Source organism: Homo sapiens, chromosome 15 (genome assembly GCF_000001405.40).
Source record: "Homo sapiens chromosome 15, GRCh38.p14 Primary Assembly".
Classification (NCBI taxonomy): Eukaryota; Metazoa; Chordata; class Mammalia; order Primates; family Hominidae; genus Homo; species Homo sapiens.
In genome coordinates, this window is record NC_000015.10 from 64,609,677 (window position 1) to 64,630,207 (window position 20,531).

Sequence of the window (20,531 nt, forward strand, 5' to 3'; positions counted from 1 at the left end):
TCTCATTTTTTTTTTTTATGGGACTAGGTATAAGAGGGGGAAAATATGTTAAGTATATGAAAAAAATAAGGCCGGGTGTGGTGGCTCACACCTGTAATCCCAGCACTTTGGGAGGCCAAGGCGGGTGGATCACTTGAGGTTAGGAGTTCAAGACCAGCCTGGCTAACACGGTAAAACCTCGTCTCTACTAAAAATGCAAAAATTAGTCCAGTGTGGTGGCATGCACCTGTAGTCCCAGCTGCTCGGGAGGCTGAGGCATGAGAATTGCTTGAACCCAGGAGTCAGAGATCAAGCCACTGCACTCCAGCCTGGGTGACAGCATGAGATGCTATCTCAAAAAATAATAATAATAATAAGGTTCTCAGTTTTTAAGAATTTCCTGCAAGGTGAAGTGTCACACCTGTAATCCTAGCACTTTGGGAGGCCAAGGCACAAGGATCTCTTGAGCCCAGGAGTTCGAGAGCAGCTTAGGCAACATAGGGAGACCCCCATCTTTACAAATTTAAAAATTAAAAATTGAGCAAACCAACGCAGAAACAGAAAACCAAATACCACTTGTTCTCACTTATTAGTGAGAGCTAAATGATGAGAACACATGGACACTTAGAGGGGAACAAACAGACATGGGCCTACTCAAACAGAGTGGAGTAGAAAAGAGTAGAGGGTGGGAGGAAAGAGAGGATTAGGAAAAATAACTAATATTTACTAAGCTTAATACCTGGATGATGAAATAATCTGTACAACAAACCCCAGTGACAGTTTACCTGTATAACAAACCTGCATATGTACCCCTGAACTTAAAAGTTAACAACAAAAACAACAAATAGCCAAGTGCAGTGGTGTGTGCCTGTAGTCCCAGCTACTCAGGAGACTGAGGCCGGAGGATCGTTGAGTCCAGGAGTTCAAGGCCATAGTGAGCAATGATTGCGCCACTGTAGTCCGGCCTGGGTGAAAGAGCAAGACCCTGTTTCTAAAATAATAATTTTTTTTTAAGAATTTCCATGACCAGAAAGTTTTAGAACAGCTGGCTTATAGCAGGGAGAATCATCCCATTCCTCCTTCCTAAGCCACAGCAGAGCAAAATGTGATTTGTGATGTCTCAATTTAGAATTCTCATGTTTTCTCACAGGACTGACAGTATGAATAATGATTCATTAGTTCTTGAGTACAGTTTGGTCCAGCCACGTTATAGGTTAAATAGATTTCTGTGGGCCGGCCTAGGAATCGCTGTTTAAGACTTCTGACATCGTGATTATTAAGATTTCAGAAAAAGGCTTTAGCTTTCTGTTGTGTTTACTTTATTTGATTTGTGGAGTTTTTTAATTTTGCATTTTGTTTGCTTACTTGTTTTTATATTCTTAAAGGTAAAAGAGTGGAGTAAAGATGACACACTTAAGTCTTGACTTTTTAGGAAATGCATATGTGAAAGGAGGTAAAAGAAGTGTATTCAGGAAAGGAAGTAGTTACAGAAGTTCTTTATTCTTAGGAAGCAAATCCTAATGCTTACCTTGTAACCATACAGGAATAGGAGGGATTATCAGCCTTCTATGGTAAACATACAGTCAGCTTCAGAGGAAGTACTTGGGTCTCTATCATCACTCATCAGCTGCAAAGTTAATAAGCTTTGCTGAAGGAAAATGTGAATTTCAAGCAGGCAGGAGATTGTAGAGTGAGAAGACTTAGGGAAGAGCAATGGAGATGCTTCATTCAGCAAAAACCTTTACCACAGTAATGGACACTGCCATGTGATTTGTGTTGCACACTGATTTTGCTTATGAGATTTTTTCCTTTGTTAAATTTCAAGCATAATTTATCTGTTTCCCACACACTGGGAATTTCTAGACAGTCTTGAATATCAGGATTGTTTGATCTGCTGTCTCCTCTTTAGCAGAAAAGGATTTAGGGTCTGAGCCCAAGAATGTATAGGGATCACTGCAGGAGAACAGACTGTAGACTGCAAGTCTGTAGTCTTCAAATTATATGTTCAAAAGCAAAAACAAACAAAAATCAAAAGAGAAAGAAACAAAATTTAATGTTCACTGTACTTGAATTTTCTTTTCTTTTTTTTTTTTTGAGATGGAGTCTTTTGCTTTGTTGCCCAGGCTGGAGTGCAGTGGCGCAATCTTGGCTCACTGCAACCTCTGCCTCCCGGGTTCAAGCAATTCTCTGCCTCAGCCTCCCGAGTAGCTGAGATTACAGGCTCCCGCCACCATGCCCGGCTAATTTTTTTTTGTATTTTTTGTAGAGATGGGGTTTCACTATGTTGGCCAGGCTGGTCTTGAACTCCTCACCTCATGATCCGCCCACCTCAGCCTCCCAAAGTGCTGGGATTACAGGCATGAGCCACCGTGCCCAGCCTGTACTTGCATTTTCTAGTGCACAATAGAACAGCCTTCACTGCTGACCTTGAGTAGGTACTGATTGGTTAAAATTAAGTACTACATTAAGTCTTCTGTGAATAATAGAATATATAGCTTCTTTTTTTTTTTGAGACGGAATTCCCCTCTGTCCCCCAGGCTGGAGTGCAGTGGCGCGACCTCGGCTCACTGCAAGCTCCGCCTCCCAGGTTCACGCCATTCTCCTGCCTCAGCCTCCCGAGTAGCTGGGACTACAGGTGCCCGCCACCACGCCCGGTTAATTTTTTTTGTATTTTTAGTGGAGATGGGGTTTCACTGAGTTAGCCAGGATGGTCTTGATCTCCTGACCTTGTGATCCACCCACCTCAGCCTCCCAAAGTGCTGGGATTACAGGCGTGAGCCACTGTGCCCGGCCTATATATAGCTTCTTAGAACTGTTTGAAGACTGGTTATGTTGCCAGCTACTCTGTCTTTTTATCTTTTTCCTCCTTGCCTCCTGCTATAAGATATTTTGGAAATTAACCAGATTTATAATCAAATTCTTTTTCAGGGCAGCCTAAGTGAAATCTGGAAGCTCAGCAGTCCAGGAGCCTCTTTTTTTTTTTTTTTTTTTAATTTATTTTTGTTTATTTATTTATTTACTTTTCCAAAGGCAGGGGAGAGGCAGGGTCCAAGTGTAGTTACTGTTTGAAAAGGACCTGCCGGGCGTGGTGGCTCATGCCTGTAATCCCAGTACTTTGGGAGGCCAAGGCCAGCGGTTCACTTGAGGTCAGGAGTTTGAGACCAGCCTGGCCAACATGGTGAAACTCTGTCTCTACTAAAAATACAAAAATTAGCCAGGTGTGGTGGCATGCGTCTGTAATCCCAGCTACCCAGGAGGCTGAGGCAGGAGAATCACTTGAACCCAGGAAGTGGAGGTTGCAGTGAGCCGAGATCACGCCACTGCACTCCAGCCTGGGCAACAGAGTGAGACTCTGTCTAAAACACAGAAAAGAAAAGGACCTGAGGCCAGGCATGGTGGGTCACACCTGTAATCCCAGCACTTTGGGAGGCTGAGGTGGTGGATTGCTTGAGCCCAGGACTTCAAGACCAGCCTGGGAAACATGGCAAAACCTTGTCTCTACAAAAAATACAACAGTTAACCAGTCATGGTGGCGTGCACCTGTAGTCCCAGCTACTTGAGAGGCTGAGGTGGGAGGATTGCTTGAGCCTGAGAGGTCAAGGCTGCAGTGAGCCATAATCACATGAGCCTGGAAGACAGTGAGACCCTGTCTCAGAAAAAAAACGAAGAAGAAGAAGAAAGAAAAGGACCCGAATTTCCTCCACTTATAGTTAAATGTTGTGTTGTTTTGGGATTTACTCAGGGTATTCTGTTGCATTCTGACAAGAGCTTTGTGGGAAGGAGGCATTCAGATTTCTCCTTCCATCCTTAATTATCCCATGATGTCTACCTGCTAGCCTCTCATGACAAGGAATTGCTGATTTTTCAGAATAAGCAAAAATCATCCTTGTTTAAACTTATTTATTTATTTTTTGAGATGGAGTCTTGCACTGTCGCACAGGCTGGAGTGCAGTGGTGTGATCTCAGCTCACTGCAGCCGCCGCCTGCCGGGTTCAAGGGATTCTCCTGCCTCAGCCTCCCGAGTAGCTGGGACTACAGGGATGTGCCACCATGCCCGGCTAATTTTTTGTATTTTTAGTAGAGACAAGGTTTCACCATGTTGGCCAGGCTGGTCTAACTCCTGACCTCGTGATCCTCCCACCTTGGCCTCCCAAAGTGCTGGGATTACAGGCGTGAGCCACTCCGCCTGGCCTAAACTTGTTTATTGAATGGAATTTTGTCTCAAAATTCCAGTCAACAGAAAGTGGTTCAAATAATTGAAGATTTTTTTTTTTCTGATTTTTGTTTTGAGACAGTCTTGCTCTATCACCCAGGCTGGAGTGCAATGGTGCAATCTCAGCTCACTGCAACCTCTGCCTCCCAGGTTCAAGCGATTCTTGTGCCTCCCAAGTAGCTGGCATTAAAGGCACCCACCACCACGCCTGACTAATTTTTTTTGTATTTTTAGTAGAGACGGGGTTTCACCATGTTGGCCGGGCTACTCTCGAACTCCTGGCCTCAAGTGATCTGCCCACCTTGGACTCCCAAAGTGCTGGGATTACAGGTGTGAGCCATGTGCCCAGCCTTTTTTCTGTATTTCTTTTTTTTTTTTTTGAGACGGAGTCTTGCTCTGTCGCCCAGGCTGGAGTGCAGTGGCGCGATCTTGGCTCACTGCAAGCTCCGCCTCCCAGGTTCACGCCATTGCCCTGCCTCAGCCTCTGACTAGCTGGGAATACAGGCGACTGCCACAATGCCCGGCTATTTTTTTTATTTTTATTTTTAGTAGAGATGGGGTTTCACCGTGTTAGCCAGGATGGTCTTGATCTCCTGACCTTGTGATCGCCTGCCTCGGCCTCCCAAAGTGCTGGCATTACAGGCGTGAGCCACCGCGCCTGGCCTTTTCTGTATTTCAAGAGACAAAAATAAATAACTTAATAAATAGATAAATGGGGTTTTATTTGCCATTCTTTTAAATAACCCACAATAAGAATTTGGTGAGCAAATTAAGTTTTATATAATACCTTGGTGGATTATTTATATGTTTATCCATGAATCAGTGAGTATTCATTTTAATCCCTCTGCCCTGTATACCTATATTACTATTAACATTACTGATGTTGAGTCACTGTAAAATCTTGAAGCACTTTTTGGATTATTGGTAAAGATAACATCTCGCTTTTTTTTTTTTTTTTTTTTTTTTTTTAGGCAGAGTCTTGTTCTGTCACCCAGGTTGGAGTGCAGGGGCACAATCTCGACTCACTGCAACCTCTGCCTCCCGGGTTCAAGGGATTCCCCTGCCTCAGCCTCCTGAGTAGCTGGGATTGCAGGCACCCGCCACCACACCCGGCTAATTTTTGTATTTTCAATAGTGACGGGGTTTCACCCTGTTGGCCAGGCTCGTCTCAAACTCCTGACCTCGTGATCTGCCTGCCTTGGCCTCCCAAAGTGCTGGGATTACAGGCGTGAGCCACCAGGCCTGGCCTGTTTTGTTTTGTTTTGTTTTGTTTTGAAGACAGTATCTCATTCTATTGCCCAGGCTAGAGTGCAGTGGTAGTACCTTGGCTCACTGCAGCCTCAACCTTCTGGTTGCAATCCTCCCATCCTCTCAAGCAGTTCTTTCATCTCAGCCTCCTGAGCAGCTAGGACTACAGGTACACACCACCATGCCTGGCTAGTTTTTGAATTTTTTGTAGAGACAAGATCTCTCTATGTTGCCCAGGCTGGTCTGAAACTCCTGAGCTCAAGTGAACCTCTGTCCTTGGCCTCCCAAAGTGCTGGGATTACAGGTGTGAGCTACTGCCTCTGTCTTGATAACGTCTTATCAACATAATGTTTAGTGTATTTGATGACATCCTTTTTTTTTTTTTTTGAGATGGAGATTCACTCTTGTTGCCCAGGCTGTAGTGCAATAGCACGATCTCGGCTCACTACAACTTCTGCCTCCTGGGTTCAAGCGATTCTCCTGCCTCAGCCTCCTGAGTAGCTGGGATTATGGGCATGCACCACCATGCCTGGCTAATTTTTGTACTTATAGTAGAGACGGGGTTTTGCCGTGTTGGTCAGGCTGGTCTTGAACTCGTGACATCAGGTGATCCACCTGCCTCGGCCTCTTAAAGTGCTGGGATTATAGGCGTGAGCCACTGTGCCCAGCTAGTGACATCTTACTTTCTACACAATCTTATCTGATAATTCTGAATAAATCTGAACATTCATGTACCAACATCCCCAACTACCTTTTTATTTTTGGATAAAACAAAGTTTCTTAGAACTACTGCTGTTATCAGTAGAACTAACTTCCTTCTTGCGTTTTTGTCTGTGAAGGTGAAGATACAAGACTCATTGTGAAGGGGAAAAGGCAAGGTCTATCTCAAATATCTCTTCAATGAATTTCTTTTTTTTTCAGATAGGGTCTCTCATTTTGGTGCTCAGGCTGAAGCGCAGTGGTGCAGTCATAGCTGCTGCCTCATCCTCCTGCCTCAGTCTCCCAAGTAGCTGGGACTATAGGGATGTGCCACCATGCCCAGCTCATTTTTATTTTTTGTAAATATAGACTTTTGCCATGTTGCCCAGGCTGGTCTAGAACTCCTCAGCTCAAGCAATCCTCCCGCCTTGGCCTCCCAGAGTGCTGGGATTACAGGTATAAACCATCACATTTGGCCTTCAGTGTATTTTCTACCTGTAAAGTTATGTTGCAGCCATGAAGATTTTTGTCCATCAGTGCCTCTCATCTGTGAGAGGCAGTTGAAGTAGGTATATAGTTATAATTACTCTTTGTGGGGAGATGAATGACTCTGGCCTTTCTCTATTCTCTCAAGTCCCCATTTCTGTGTCATCTGCCTACCAACATTGAGATCCTTATATATGTTATTAAACTGATATCTTTTTTTTTTTTTTTTTTTTTTTGAGATGGAGTCTCACTCTGTCGCCCAGGCTGGAGTGCAGTGGCGTGATCTCGGCTCACTGCAAGCTCCACCTCCCAGGTTCACGCCATTCTCCTGCCTCAGCTTCCTGAGTAGCTGGGACTACAGGCGCCCGCCACCACACCCGGCTAATTTTTTGTATTTCTAGTAGAGACGGGGTTTCACCGTGTTAGCCAGGATGGTCTCGATCTCCTGACCTTGTGATCCACCCGCCTCAGCCTCCCAAAGTGCTGGGATTACAGGTGTGAGCCACCATGCTTTTTTTTTTTTTTTTTTTTTTTTTGCACTCTGTCGCCCAGGATGGAGTACAATTGTGCAATCTCAGCTCACTGCAACCTCCACCTCCCGGGTTCAGGTGATTCTCATGCCTCAGTCTCCCAAGTAGCTGGGATTACAGGTGCACACCACCATGCCCGGCTAATTTTTTATTTTTAGTAGAGATGGGGTTTCACCATGTTGGCCAGGCTGGTCTTGAACTCCTGGCCTCAGGTGATCCACCTGCCTCAGCCTCCCAAAGTGCTGGGATTACAGGCGTGAGCCACTGCGTCCGGCCTTAAACTGCTATGTAAAGGTAAATTGAGAAGTATCATTTTAGGATGGGCAACGTAGGGAGACTTTGTCTCTACAAAGTTTTTGTTTTTGTTTTTTTTGGAGACAAAATTTCACTGTATTGCCCAGGCTAGTCTCAAACTCCTGGACTCAAACAGTCCTCCCATTTCAGCCTCCCAAAGTGCTAGGATCACAGGCATCAGCCACCATTCCCGGCCAAAAAATTAAAAAAAAAAAAAAATTAGCCTAGCATGGTGGTGCACGTGTAGTCCCAGCTACTTGGGAGGCTGAGGTGGGAGGATTGCTTGAGCCAGAGAGGTTGAGGCTGCAGTGAACCATGATCACCCCCTGCACTCCAGCCTGGACGACAGAGCGAGACCCTGTCTCAAAGAAAAGAGAATTATCGCCAGGCATGTCTGTAATCCCAGCACTTTGGGATGCTGTGGCGGTTGGATCACCTGAGGTCAGGAGTTCGAGACCAGCCTGGCCAACATGACAAAACCCAGTCTCTACTAAAAATAGAAAAATTAGCCAGGCATGGTGGTGGGAGCCTGTAATCCCAGCTACTTGGGAGGCTGAGGTAGGAGAATCGCCTGAATCTGGAAGGCAGAGGTTGTAGTGAGCTGAGATCACGCCATTGCACTCCAGCCTGGGCAACAAGAGTGAAACTCCATCTCAAAAAACAAACAAACAAACAAAAAGTATTAAAAGATAAAGGACATAAAGTGTTGGGAAACTCCAGAGATCTCCTCTTTAAATTCTCTATAAGTCTCTTTTCAAGCTTTTGTTTTGTTGTTTACCTCCCTAGTAAGCTAAGCCCTAGGAGCCATGATGGCACTTCTTAGCATTTCAAAGACTGAGAATTAGCTTAACTTTTGTTGGTGTAGTTATTAAGGCATCTAATGACCTTAACTTTTTAATATTCCTATACCTTATTTTCCCTCTTGGCCCCAATTTCCTGACAATCCCTGCTCTTATATTTTAGGTATATGAAAAGATGGCAAAATGAGTCCTTTTCTGATTTTTTTTTCTCCTTTTTTGAGACAGGGTCTTGCTCTGTTGCACAGGCTAGAGTACAGTGGCACGATCACAGCTCACTGCAGCCTTCACCCCCGGGACAAAACTTTCCTCCTGAAATGGGAAAAGTTCCCTTGTCCCCCTCACAGGGCGTGCAATGGGAGTGTGGCTCACTTCTTCACTGCCCTGCTGCTCAGACCTGTAGGGTAACATACAGAGGGGCAGGCTATGGGGCTCCAACCCCGGCAGTGTCTAGGGGTGAATGCTTACATCTGAAGCCCCAGTGGGTGTGTGTTACAGGGTGCTCTTTTAGTTTAGCTGTCCTTAGGCGGCTTGTGTTAGCTCAATTAGACCCCTGCCTTATCACAAGAACAGAGGGCTTTCTGTATCCCAAGGTTCTTGTCTTGGTGTACTGGAAGAATTGGATCAAATGTGGGCTTGGAGAATGAGTGTAAGGTTTTATTGAGTGAAAGTAATGCTCAGCAGATTGGGGAGCCAGAAGGGAGATGGTTTTCCCCTGGAGTTCAGCTACTCAGCGGCCCAGGCTCTTCTCCAAATGCCCCAGCCAAACTCTGCTTCGTTCCACGGCCTGCTGGCATTTGTCATGTGCTCTTCCGCCACGTGTGCTCTTCTGCCGGCATGCTCCTCTCAACGCCCTCTCGAGGTCCAGCCGCTGTGTCTTCTTCTGCCAATGTGTTCCTCTAGAAGTCCAGCCGCTTGTGTGTCTGCCTGCTAGGGTCTGGGGAGTTTTTATAGGCACAGGGAGGGGCTGTGGCAGGCCAGGGTGGTCTTGGGAAATCCAACATTTGGGCGGGAAAACAAAAATGCCTATCTACCTAGGTCCGTGGACACAGGCCCCTGATGGAGCCCTAGCCAGGGACCATGCCCTCCTCTACCCAGCACTTCCCTTACCCCCTTCTGTATCATTTAAAGGGACCACGTTCTCTACCCAGCACACCCGTGTCACTCCTACCTCAGCGTCCCAAGTAGCTAGGACTGCAGGTGTGTGCCAACACACCCAGCTAGTTGTTTTTGTTTTTGTTTTTGTTTTTAATTTTTTGTAAAGACAGGGTCTCACAATGTTGCCCTGGCTGGTCTCAAACTCCTGGACTCAAGCACTCCTCCTGCCTTGGCCTCCCAAAGTGCTGGGACTACAGGCTTGAGCCATTGCACCCAGCCCCCTTTTTCTGATTGTTATCTTCTCCTGGAAAGTGATAAATGAAGCTATCTTTGTTTCAGTGAATAATAGAATATGAAATCCTGTAAAGCCACATAGGTTATTAGATGAATATCACAGAGCTTATTATGCACTATGGCTTAATGTTAGATTATAGATGTGACCAAATGGTAATTAACAGAGCTGGAGCTGTAATTAAATACTATTATGCTGCTCTGTGATCTCTCCTTAGATTTCTGTTGCAAAGTAAATGGAAAATGAATAGTTCAAACCCATAGGTGGATTTCGTCGCTTCTCCCCATCCCTGAACATCTCTTTTAATTAACTAAGTAATTAAATAAAGTCATCTTCATACAACAGAGATGCCAAACTCTGCCTAGTAACTCTAATCAGTAAGGGTAGTTTGATGCATACTTGTTAATGAGTTCCTCATGTGTATGAGTCTGTTCTGTTATTCTTAGTGATCAGTTCAGCTGAAGTTTCTTCTCTTCACTTATTGTATAGCAGGGTATAATTTGGCAGACTGCTTGAATGCAACAGTGATGTTTCCAACCTACATTTTAGGTGTTGTTTTCTGGATTTCTTGGTGCAAAACTGGGGACTTCATTTTATCTAGAATGTATTAGCATATGTTTCTCCTAGCCTGCCAGGAGCACTGAATAACCTAGCAGGAAATTAAACTACTTCCAGAAAAGAGCTGTCCTCAGTGGCTGAGAGAAAGTGTATAGGTGTCTCCCTGGGGTAAACTTCCTTCTGTGCCTAGGGTTGCTGCCTGAGCTGTGGAACAGGTTGGCAATAGGACATGTGCAAGCAAGGCAATCAGAAAGTTCACAGGGGTGACCTGGAAGGTTTAGGCCAATGTCTGTGTCCAGTAGGACCTTGCAGGAATTTCTCTTGTGAGTAGAAGAAAGTATAAAAAAGGGAACAAACCCTAAGCAAAAGAAGTACACATATAGGCTGTGAAACTGCTTCTGTCACAGTTCTTCCCCAAGAGAAAGAATAGATAAACAGAGGTGAGGCCAAGAGTAAAGATGATCTGTATATTCTGTCTCTAACTTTCCCTCTCTAGTGACTCTCAAGAGTTTGTTCCAGCACTGCAGAGGAGTGAGTAGGGAGGATCCAGTTTACTTTTTCTGTGTTGTTTTTTACCTTCACTTCTGTGCATGGAAATTTTAAAGATCTTTCCAGGATCTACCACATCCCAAGAAGGTTGGGAAATTAAATTATAAATGCCCAGTTTTCAAGAGAGCAAATATGCCTTTTGGCATTTATCATAAATGTAGATGATTCATTATACAGGCTTCTACTTCCATTTCATTTCATGAAAAAGGTGGAGTTGGGGAAGTACAAGGGGTGTGTGTGTGAGACAAGCAGACAAGGATGTTTTGGCAGCTCTTCAGGGACCAGAATTAATCAGAATCAGTGTATGAACATTCTGTGGACTCACAATGATGATCTACAAATAGTGATGACTTTCTAAGCCAAGAAGTCAGAGCCAACTGTGGAGAATGGATCCGGAACCCAGACCTCAGCCTATAGGCTAGTTTTCAAGGCCAGGAAGGTGTTTGTCTCTGTGTGTGTTGTGGGAGGGAAATGGATTATAGATAGAGTGATAGTCATGTAGTAAATTATTCCAGAATCAGAGTTTTGTTGCAGAGCTATTTAGAAGCTTGGCTTACGGATACATGTATGATCTTCTCTGAATGTCTCTATTAAAGGACTAGACTAAGAAGTCTATTAAAGGACCTAGACTAAGAAGTCCTCACAAAGGACTCTCTATTAAAGGACCTAGACTAAGAATTCCTCACAAAGGGAAGAGTCCCAAGGATTGGGAAAGTCCCAATCTTTGACTCTCATTTTCTAGGTCTGCTGATTAGTATCATACTTAATCTTCGGAGGAAATAAGCCAGTGTGTGCATTGAGTGTCTTTGCATATGCAAGACGTTATGCTCATTCAGGATTGGGGCATCAATCACTCGAGCATAATAGACTTTGTCAGCCTCATAAATTCTGGGATTTAAAGAGTTAAAGGATCACTGCCCACTTCATTTCATTCTTTTTTTTTTTTTTGAGATAGGATTTCACTCTGTCACCCAGACTGGAGTACAGTGGTGCAATCATAGCTCACTGTAGCCTCAACCTCCTGGGCTCAAGTGGTCCTCCCACCTCCGCTTCTGGAGTAGCTGAGAATACAGGCATATGCCACCACACACAGATACCTTTTTTATTTTTGTTTTTTATAGAGGTGGGGTCTTGCTATGTTACCCAGGCTAGTCTTGAACTCTTGGCTACACGTGATCTTCCTCCATAGGCCTCCCAAAACATTAGGACTACAGGCATGAGCCATTGCACCTGACCCATCACAACTTTTATGTTGTCTCTAGATGGGTTGCATTCTTCTTGGAACCTAACTAATTACATTCTTGTGAGAGGTTCTAGTTTCTGGTTTTGGAAGCAAATTGCTTCTTTCTTTTTTTTTTTTTTTTGAGACGATCTCAGCTCACTGCAACCTCTGCCTCCCAGGTTCAAGCGATTCTGCTGCCTCAGCCTCCTGGATAGCTGGGATTACAGGCGCCCACCACTACGCCCGGCTAATTTTTGTATTTTTAGTAGAGATGGGGTTTCACCATGTTAGTCAGGCTGGTCTCGAACTCCTGACCTCAGGTGATCTGCCCACCTCGGCCTCCCAAAGTGCTGGGATTACAAGTGTGAGCCACCGTGCCTAGCCATGTTTGACTATTTCTATCTATGTGTACATAATCAACAACATCTTCAGACTGCTGTTGATTGGCTTCTGGGTGGCAACAGCACCTCCTGTTTCTTATAGATAAATTTGATGTTAGAATTATATTCCAAGATGCCATTCTCATTAAACAACCACTGTTACATGTTACAGTTTCTAAGGGTTAGAAATTCCCACCAGGTTAATCCCAGCCCTGCTATAACTTTATTCCTTCTAGCCAAAGATGTATTAAAGCACCTAGGATCATTAGGAATCATGGCATTCCTAGGATTTGGCTATTTCTTCCTCTCTTTATCCCCACCCAAATTCATGGATTTTATGCCAGACTAATGTACTGTTTGCTGAATGATAGATTGGTAGGAAGCATAGTGGTGGTAGCAAAACATACCTCAGATGCTGGGCCTTGTCTTTCTCATCAGTCTGTGTGCTCTGTTACTATTGAAATCTGGCCCTGATTCTCTTTCATTAGAGACTTTTTAATGAGATGAGGAAAAAATAGAACTTTTTAAAAAACATTTTAGCCAAGTGCAGTTTATGAGGAAGATCATTAAGAAGATCATTATACGCTCATTAATAAGAGTTTCTCTTAGCACAGGATGTTCTCATCTAAACCACTAGATTTGTAGTGGTATCATAAGCCAGAACTTGAAAGGAAGAACCAAAGTCTTATTTATAGCCGTCTGCACTCTGGCAGGAATAGATATAGGACTAGATTAAATACAGAAAAGGTATTTCCTCTAAATGTTCTCCCTGCAACTCAGCTACTACTTTTTCTTCCCTCCACAGATGGAGTCCCCTGTTTCCACACCAGCAGTGCTGCCAATACACCTTTTGGTGCCAGTGGTCAACAATGACATCTCATCTCCCTGTGAGCAGATCATGGTTCGTACCCGATCAGTTGGGGTCAACACATGTGATGTGGCTCTGGCCACAGAGCCTGAGTGCTTGGGCCCCTGTGAACCTGGAACTAGCGTCAACCTTGAAGGCATCGTGTGGCAGGAAACAGAAGATGGTAAGTGTGATATGTGGCTTTCCCCTCCCTTCTCAACCTGCTTCTGCAGGGGAGCCACCAGGGACTTATTGTTGTAAATATTACCAAGTGGTTATTAGAGTCTCAAGTGTCCACAGTCTGCGGGAGATACCCACACAGAGGATTTTAGCAGACTTAGCAAAATTTCCCAGCTTCTAGAGATTCTTCCCTTCATAGTATTCAACAGTGTTGATCCTGGTACTTATGATATGCAGTCATGTGATAGGTATTGGCCAGGTAATTCAAACTGTATCTGTACTCTCCATATTTTATATGGGAGAGTTAGATTATAAATTAAATTTGAGGTCAGGCCTGAAGAGAAAAATTAATAAAAGGGCAGCTGAGGGAGTCAAGAGGATGGAGAATAGTCACTCTTAAATTCACTTAATGTTGGCTCATTGCATATGCAGCTCTTGCCTTTTTTAACACCTATAGGTACAGCCAGTTCACTCTTCCCACTGATTGCCTCATTGCCCAGCCACCCACACCGCTTCATGTATCTGTCACTTGGTACAGATTTTATAGGAAATGTTTAGATGGTCTTGTTTTCAGGCATCCACTAAGCAGTTGGCTCACTGTAGGTTGCTGTTGCCCAAGGCATCCAGACTTCTTGCATGTTCCACTTGCCCCTGAGAACGGAATCTATTCTGTTTTGAAAATTTATGAACCTGAAAAAATGGAAGGAAGTGTAAAGAGACTTAATGGGGTATTTCAGATCTTTTGGTAACATCTGGTGGCAATTTGATTTTTGCATATTCTTTTTCTGAAGAATCCAAATCCTTGTCAGAGTATATGTGGTTAGAGAGTCTGGGCCTCAGTCCCATCATGTCTCTGCATCAGTAAACAGACTTTCAAACTGTCCTCACTCTGAGGAGTTTAGAGGCCCAGAGGAGCACAGCTAATCATCTCTGATTATCACAGAGCTATTTTGTCAGTCTGCCCCTAGAAATTCAGGCATTTCATTCTGGTCATTCTAATAAAATCTGTTCCCCTGAATATTTTGTTGTCATTCAGTATTTATTTAAAGTTTACCGTGCAATAGGTGCTGATGTGTTACAGGTTAAGAACTCTGTATTCTTGTCTGTGTCATCATTAGGAATGTAATACATCTTCAGCTTTCAGAATAACGTCGCTAATGAGGTTTTATTGTGTGCCTGAGTGGTAGAAGCTGATGCAGAGAAGGTAGAGAGAGAGTTTAACTCTAGAGGTTGACTCTGGATATGTGTATACAATATACAATCTGAAAATCACAAAGTGGCTATCTGATTTTTAAAATGTCATCTGCTTATGGACAAATGTCTGAACAGTCACAGAGTCTGTTGGAATGACAGACATATCCGGACCATATCTCTGTGCCACCAAGCAACCTTCAAGGCCTCTTACCTCAGTATATTGAAGATAGAATAAATCGATTTCCTGCCTGTTTGTTCTGCTTGCCTTTATGATGGTGACTCTTTTCCAAGAACAAGATGCTTTTTTTATGTGAACCTAACAAAAACTTTGAGAGAGTGAGGCTAATGCTTTCACTCTCCTGAGGACAATGAATACCTTTTTATCTGAGGATCCCTTCCTGCCAGGGCAAAATTAACACATAATTTTTTTTTATTTTTTGTAAATCGTTTGCACTGGAAGACTCTCTGTCAGGTTGTCACAGGCAGCCTATTATTACCAAGTTCCCCTGTTACGTACACTTTTTTTTTTTTTTTTGAGATGGAGTCTCACCCTGTCACCCAGGCTGGAGTACAGTGGTGCGATCTTGGCTCACTGCAACCTCTGCCTCCCAGGTTCAAGCGATTCTTCTCTCTCAGCCTCCTGAGTAGTGGGGACTACAGGCACATACCACCACGCCTGGTCCATTTTTGTATTTTTAGTAGAGATGGGGTTTCACCGTGCTGGCCACGCTGGTCTTGAACTCCTGACCTTGTGATCCACCTGCCTCAACCTCCCAAAGTGCTGGGATTACAGGTGTGAGCTACCACACCCAGCCCAGTTTGTACTCTTAAGGTACTCTATACTTTATTTCATAGCACACATCACAGTTTGCAACTTTGTTTATCATTTTTATGATTTTTCTATTAATGTGTATCTTTTCTACTGTGTTAGAAGTTCTGAGATCAGGCAGTCTGTTTTGCTCATCATTGTATCCAAGGTACTTAACATAGGTGGCATCTGACACCTATAGTAGTAGACTGTCAAAAATACTTGTTTGAGGCCAGGCGTGGTTTATCACCTGAGGTCAGGAGTTCAAGACCAGCCTGGCCCACATAGTGAAACCCTATCTCTACTAAAAATACAAAAAAAAAGCTGGGTATGGTGGCGTGTACCTGTAATCCCAGCTACTTGGGAGGCTGAGGCAGGATAATCACTTGAACCCCGGAGGTGGAGGTTGCAGTGAGCCGAGATCGCACCATTGCACTCTGGCCCAGGCAACAGAGCAAGGCTGTCTCAAAAAAAAGAAAAATATATTTGTTTGAATGAAGGAATGCTTGCATCTATGTCATTGTCATTTCTGGATCTATCTTAATATATATCTAGAGGAGCCGGGTGCGGTGGCTCAAGCCTGTAATCCCAGCACTTTAGGAGGCCGAGGCGGGCGGATCACGAGGTCAGGAGATGGAGACCATCCTGGCTAACATGGTGAAACCCTGTCTCTACTAAAAATACAAAAATTAGCCGGGTGTAGTGGTGGGCGCCTGTAGTCCCAGCTACTCGGGAGGCTGAGGCAGGAGAATGGCGTGAACCCAGGAGGCGGGCCTTGAAGTGAGCCAAGATTGCACCACTGCACTCCAGCCTGGGTGACAGAGCCAGACTCCATCTCAAAAAAAAAAAAAAAAAAAAAAAAAAATATATATATATATATATATATAGAGAGAGAGAGAGAGAGAGAGAGAGAGAGAGAGGATATTAAAATATTGCTTGAACTTAGGAATGGTGTCGAAGTACTTTCCAAAATTCTAAATCTTCTCTGCAACTCAGAATAAATACTGCTTTCACCAGGTTTGAGATCAGTCTCGTTGTCTAAATCTGTAAGATTTTTAATCCTACTTTTAATACCAGGTTTTCTCCCACTTACTGTATTTCAAGGCTTAGGTCTCTTTCTTTATTTTATTCTCTTTTTCTGAAAGAGAACTGTTCAGCAATAATATACTCATCTTTTCTTTGCTTTCTGGTCACCCCAGAGGGCCTTCACCTGAACTGTCAGTTGGCGAAGGTCTGAATTGGGATCAGAGTTGGTTCACATTCCTTTTCATCTTCAGGTAACAGAGATTTCCTGCAAAGATCATTCTCTGAAGATCTGTAAGATCCAGGATACCGAGTCAGTCCTCAAGTTAATCATAAGAACTACATACAGATACTTTTTAAAAAATTCTTCCAGACTTCTAGGTTTTTTTTTCTGCCTCTCGACATTTTGTACTTCTGTCTGTCTCTTTGTCCAGCAAACTACACTGTCTTCAAACAGAAAAGTCCTTACAGCTCAGAGAGAAGCTGTGAATGCTTGGCCTCTGAGGGGAATGGAGGACACTGAGGTCCCTGTAGAACTGAGCCACCTTGCTGAGAACAGGTATAGGAGTCATGGCCTCAATTATTCCTAGTTTCTTTGCCTACTTGTCCTACAGTGTTACTTCTTTCTTTCCTCTTCTCTCCCTATCACTCCCTTTAAACCTTGGATGCATTTTTAAATTCCTGCAGATTCCATTTCTTTTTAGGCTGTTGATAATTCAGTAAGCACTGCAAAGATCCTACTTGACTAGATTCAACCGTGGGACTGTTAAGAAGACCCAAGTGTAACCTAGAATTTTTTTGTCTGTTTGTTTTTGAGACATTCTCAGCACTATGTAAGGGCTAGTTCCACTGGATTTTGCTTTATCTCACCTCACTTCAAATCAAAATACTGAGTATGTCCGAGGCGGGAGGTACACTTGAGGTCAGGAGTTTGAGACCAGCCTGGCCAACATGGCAAAACCCCGTCTCTACTAAAAATGCAAAAATTAGCCTGTAATCCCAGCTACTTGGGAGGCTGAGGCAGGGGAATCACTTGAACCCAGGAAGTGGAGGTTGCAGTGAGCCGAGAGTGTGCCACTACACTCCAGCCTGGGCGACAGAGAGTGAGACTCCGTCTCAAAAAAAAAACAAAAAAAAACAAAACAAAACTACCAAGTCTATTCTGGGTTCACAAGGCTTAACTCTAATCTAGGATCCTGAAAAAATGTATAAGAAGCCTTAAAGCAGACTATGTACTTTTAGGGACACAAAATTGCATACTGGCTTGTGTGGTATTTTAAAGAAAGGCAAGGCTGACTTTAGGTAAGAGTTCTAGGAGATGCTATAGGTTCTCCTTTTTGGACAGTAGCACTAACCCAAAGGCCAATACCAGTGATGTAGTTTACTTTGGCAAATGTGCTTTATGGAAGAATTTATGGTATAGTGGAAGGAGCACTGGAGTAAAACTCTGGAGACTTCTATATCTCTGCCACTATCATTATGACCTTGGAAAAATCCCTTAATTTTCTGGGCCTTAGTTACCTCATCTCTTAAGTTGAACTAGGTGACCAATTAGGACCTGACAGTTCTTTTTAGTTCTTTTTTTCTTTCTTTTTTTTTTTTTTTTTTTTTTGAGACAGGGTCAAGCTGTGTCACCCAGCCTGGAGTATAGCAACAACATCATCTCTCACTGCAGCCTCAAACTCTTGAGCTAAAGTGATCCTCCTGCCTTGGCCTCCTGAGTAGCTGAGACTACAGGCATGTGCCGCCGTACTCAGCTAATTTTTTATAGAGACAGAGTCTTGCTATGTTGTGCAGACTGGTCTCAAACTCCAGGCCTCAAGTGACCATCCCACCTCAGCCTCCCAAAGTGCTGGGATTACAGGCATGAACCACCATGCCCAGCCTATCAGCTCTTAAGTTATAAAAATCTATGCAGGCCAGGTGTGGTGGCTCATGCCTGTAATCCCAGCACTTTGGGAGGCTGATGCAGATGGATCACTTGAGCCCAGGAGTTTGAGACTAGCCTGGGCAACATAGCAAGACCCTATCTCTACAAAAAAAATTTTTTTTAAATCTATGCCTTAAACCATGGAATCAGGGCCAGGCACAGTGGCTTGTGCCTGTAGTCCCAGCTACTCAGGAGGCTAAGGCAGGAGGATCACTTGAACCCAGGAGTTCGAGGCAACAGTGAGCTATGATTGTGCCACTGCATTCCAGGCTGGGTGACGGAGTGAGACCCCATCTCAAAAAAAGAAAAGAAACATGTAATCAGCATGGATCCAACACTGGTTGACTATGGCAACTTAAAAACGAACAAGTGGACGGGCACGGTGGCTCACACCTGTAATCCCAACACTTTGGGAAGCTGAAGCAGGTGGATCACTTGAGGCCAGGAGTTTGAGACCAGCCTGGCCAATATGGTGAAACCCCGTCTCTACTACAAAAATTAGCCAGGTGTGGTGATACATGCCTGTAATCCCATCTGAGGCAGGAGAATCCCATGAACCCAGGAGGCAGAGGTTGCAATGAGCCAGGATGTGAGAGAATATGCGGCTGTCTGTAGAACAGGAGGAGCAGAGACTTTTTTGAGACAGAGTTTCTCTCTTCTTGCCCAGGCTGGAGTGCAATGGCGTGATCTCGGCTCACTGCAACCTCCACCTCCCGGGTTCAAGCGATTCTCCTGCCTCAGCCTCCCAAGTAGCTGGGATTACAGGCGTGTGCCACCACACCTGGCTAATTTTGTATTTTCAGTAGAGATGGGGTTTTTCCATTTCGGTCAGGCTGGTCTCGAACTCCTGACCTCAGGTGATCCCCCTGCCTCGGCCTTCCAAAGTGCTGGGATTACAGGCGTGAGCCACCATGCCTGGCCCCTGCTCACTATTGTAATAACATCCTGTCATCAGATTTCTTCTACCACCATTTGACTGAAATATTTCTCATACCAGTTTTCCAGAGGTCTTCTCTCAGTCCTTCCTAGACTTCTATTAGCTCTCTTATTTCTTTATTCTTGAAACTCTCCTCTCTTGCCTTGGTCATAAATCTCATTTCTCTTTATAACTGGTTATTCTCTCTATTTTGTGCCAGTCTCTCTTCCTTCTTGTATTCATTTAATCAGAAATTCCTGTTGAGATTCAGGATGCTGAAATATCGGTCAATTCAGTCCTATCAGCCACTAGATAGGGTCTGTAGCAGCTGGTGCCCTGCTCCCTTTCCCACAGGCAAACAGCCTTATCCACAATATATTTTTTCATTTACTGTGTGTGTCATAGTGGGGAAAGTTGAGGAAACATTGAGTTAGGAATGGCATTTAGCTGCTTGGAGAAGAAATGAAACTATAATAATGATTTAATATAAGAGAATTTGGAGGTAGGTAGGTAAGTAGTCTAGGGCTGGTATGATGACATCGCAATGGAATCACTGTTTCAGGCTCCTTAAAGTTACTTCTTTATTGTAAAATTGCTTCTGTAGCTCCAGCCATCATGTTTACTTTCCAGTCTTGAAAGAAAAGGAAGGTAGAAGAGAAAAAGCACCTGCCTCCCATCTTAGTCTGTTACCTTTGGAGAGGTTTCCCAGAAGCCACACCATAAGACTTCTGCTTACATCTTGTTGGCTACCCTGTGTGCAAGGAAGGCAAAGAAATTTAGCCTTTTAGCTGGATACATTACTTCCCCGCACAAAATAGGGGCTCTTACTAAGGGAAAAGGGAAGAAATTAGTAGAATCTGCCACTCTTCTGCTTTGCATAGCCTTCCTACATCATAACTTCCAAAAGCTATTACTTTAGCAGCTTTCTATTGTAAGTACTCTCCTATATATTCATATCTTTAGCTGTCTACCTTGTGTGAACAATACCGAGAACTTTATCTCCACACTTGACCTTTTGCCTAATACAGTTTCACTGATGAACATCAACAGAAACTGATTTATTAAATTCGAATGTCTAAAAAGGAGTATTCATCATTTTTTACCAAAAATTTCCTTCTCTTTCCTTCTCTGTTTCTCTTCATTACACCTACATTACCATCCTCCTAATTTTCTTTTTTCTTTTTTTTTTTTTTTTTGAGACAAAGTCTCGCTCTGTTGCCCGGGGTACAATGGCCTCCACCTACGGGGTTCAAGCGATTCTTCTGCCTCAGCCTCCCAAGTAGCTGGG

General features: G+C 43.9%; 1 protein-coding gene and 1 long non-coding RNA gene across 9 annotated transcripts in view, besides 2 other annotated features; one reads left to right on the top strand and one right to left on the bottom strand.

The window, feature by feature from the left end:
• Nucleotides 1-20,531, top strand: part of ZNF609 (zinc finger protein 609) — a 226,491-nt gene that overhangs the window by 150,099 nt on the left and 55,861 nt on the right. For all 5 annotated transcript variants that reach the window (XM_047432263.1, XM_047432265.1, XM_017022021.2 and 2 more), the window contains exon 3: nucleotides 13,151-13,376. In XM_047432263.1, the coding sequence (XP_047288219.1) occupies nucleotides 13,151-13,376 (226 nt within the window). The remainder of the gene's footprint in view (nucleotides 1-13,150; nucleotides 13,377-20,531) is intronic.
• Nucleotides 1-20,531, bottom strand: part of LOC101930091 (uncharacterized) — a 92,612-nt gene that overhangs the window by 67,576 nt on the left and 4,505 nt on the right. The window contains exons 2-4 of one of the 4 annotated variants that reach the window (XR_001751587.2): nucleotides 19,934-19,994; nucleotides 16,468-16,689; nucleotides 13,978-14,062 (exon numbers count right to left, since the gene is read on the bottom strand). This is a non-coding gene — a long non-coding RNA (uncharacterized LOC101930091). Of the gene's footprint in view, nucleotides 1-13,977; nucleotides 14,063-16,467; nucleotides 16,690-19,933; nucleotides 19,995-20,531 lie in introns of those variants that run through there. The other 3 variants (XR_007064677.1, XR_007064678.1, XR_001751585.2) reach the window with 3 other exon arrangements.
• Nucleotides 7,951-8,543: an enhancer, noted in NCBI's record as "NANOG hESC enhancer chr15:64909826-64910418 (GRCh37/hg19 assembly coordinates)". NCBI's record gives its function as "activates a minimal SCP1, AML or CMV promoter by ChIP-STARR-seq in primed H9 embryonic stem cells {active_cell/tissue: H9 hESC(primed)}" and the evidence as "EXISTENCE:reporter gene assay evidence [ECO:0000049][PMID:30033119]".
• Nucleotides 12,973-13,052: an enhancer, noted in NCBI's record as "active region_9575". NCBI's record gives its function as "activates an Ori minimal core promoter by ATAC-STARR-seq in GM12878 lymphoblastoid cells {active_cell/tissue: GM12878}" and the evidence as "EXISTENCE:reporter gene assay evidence [ECO:0000049][PMID:35858748]".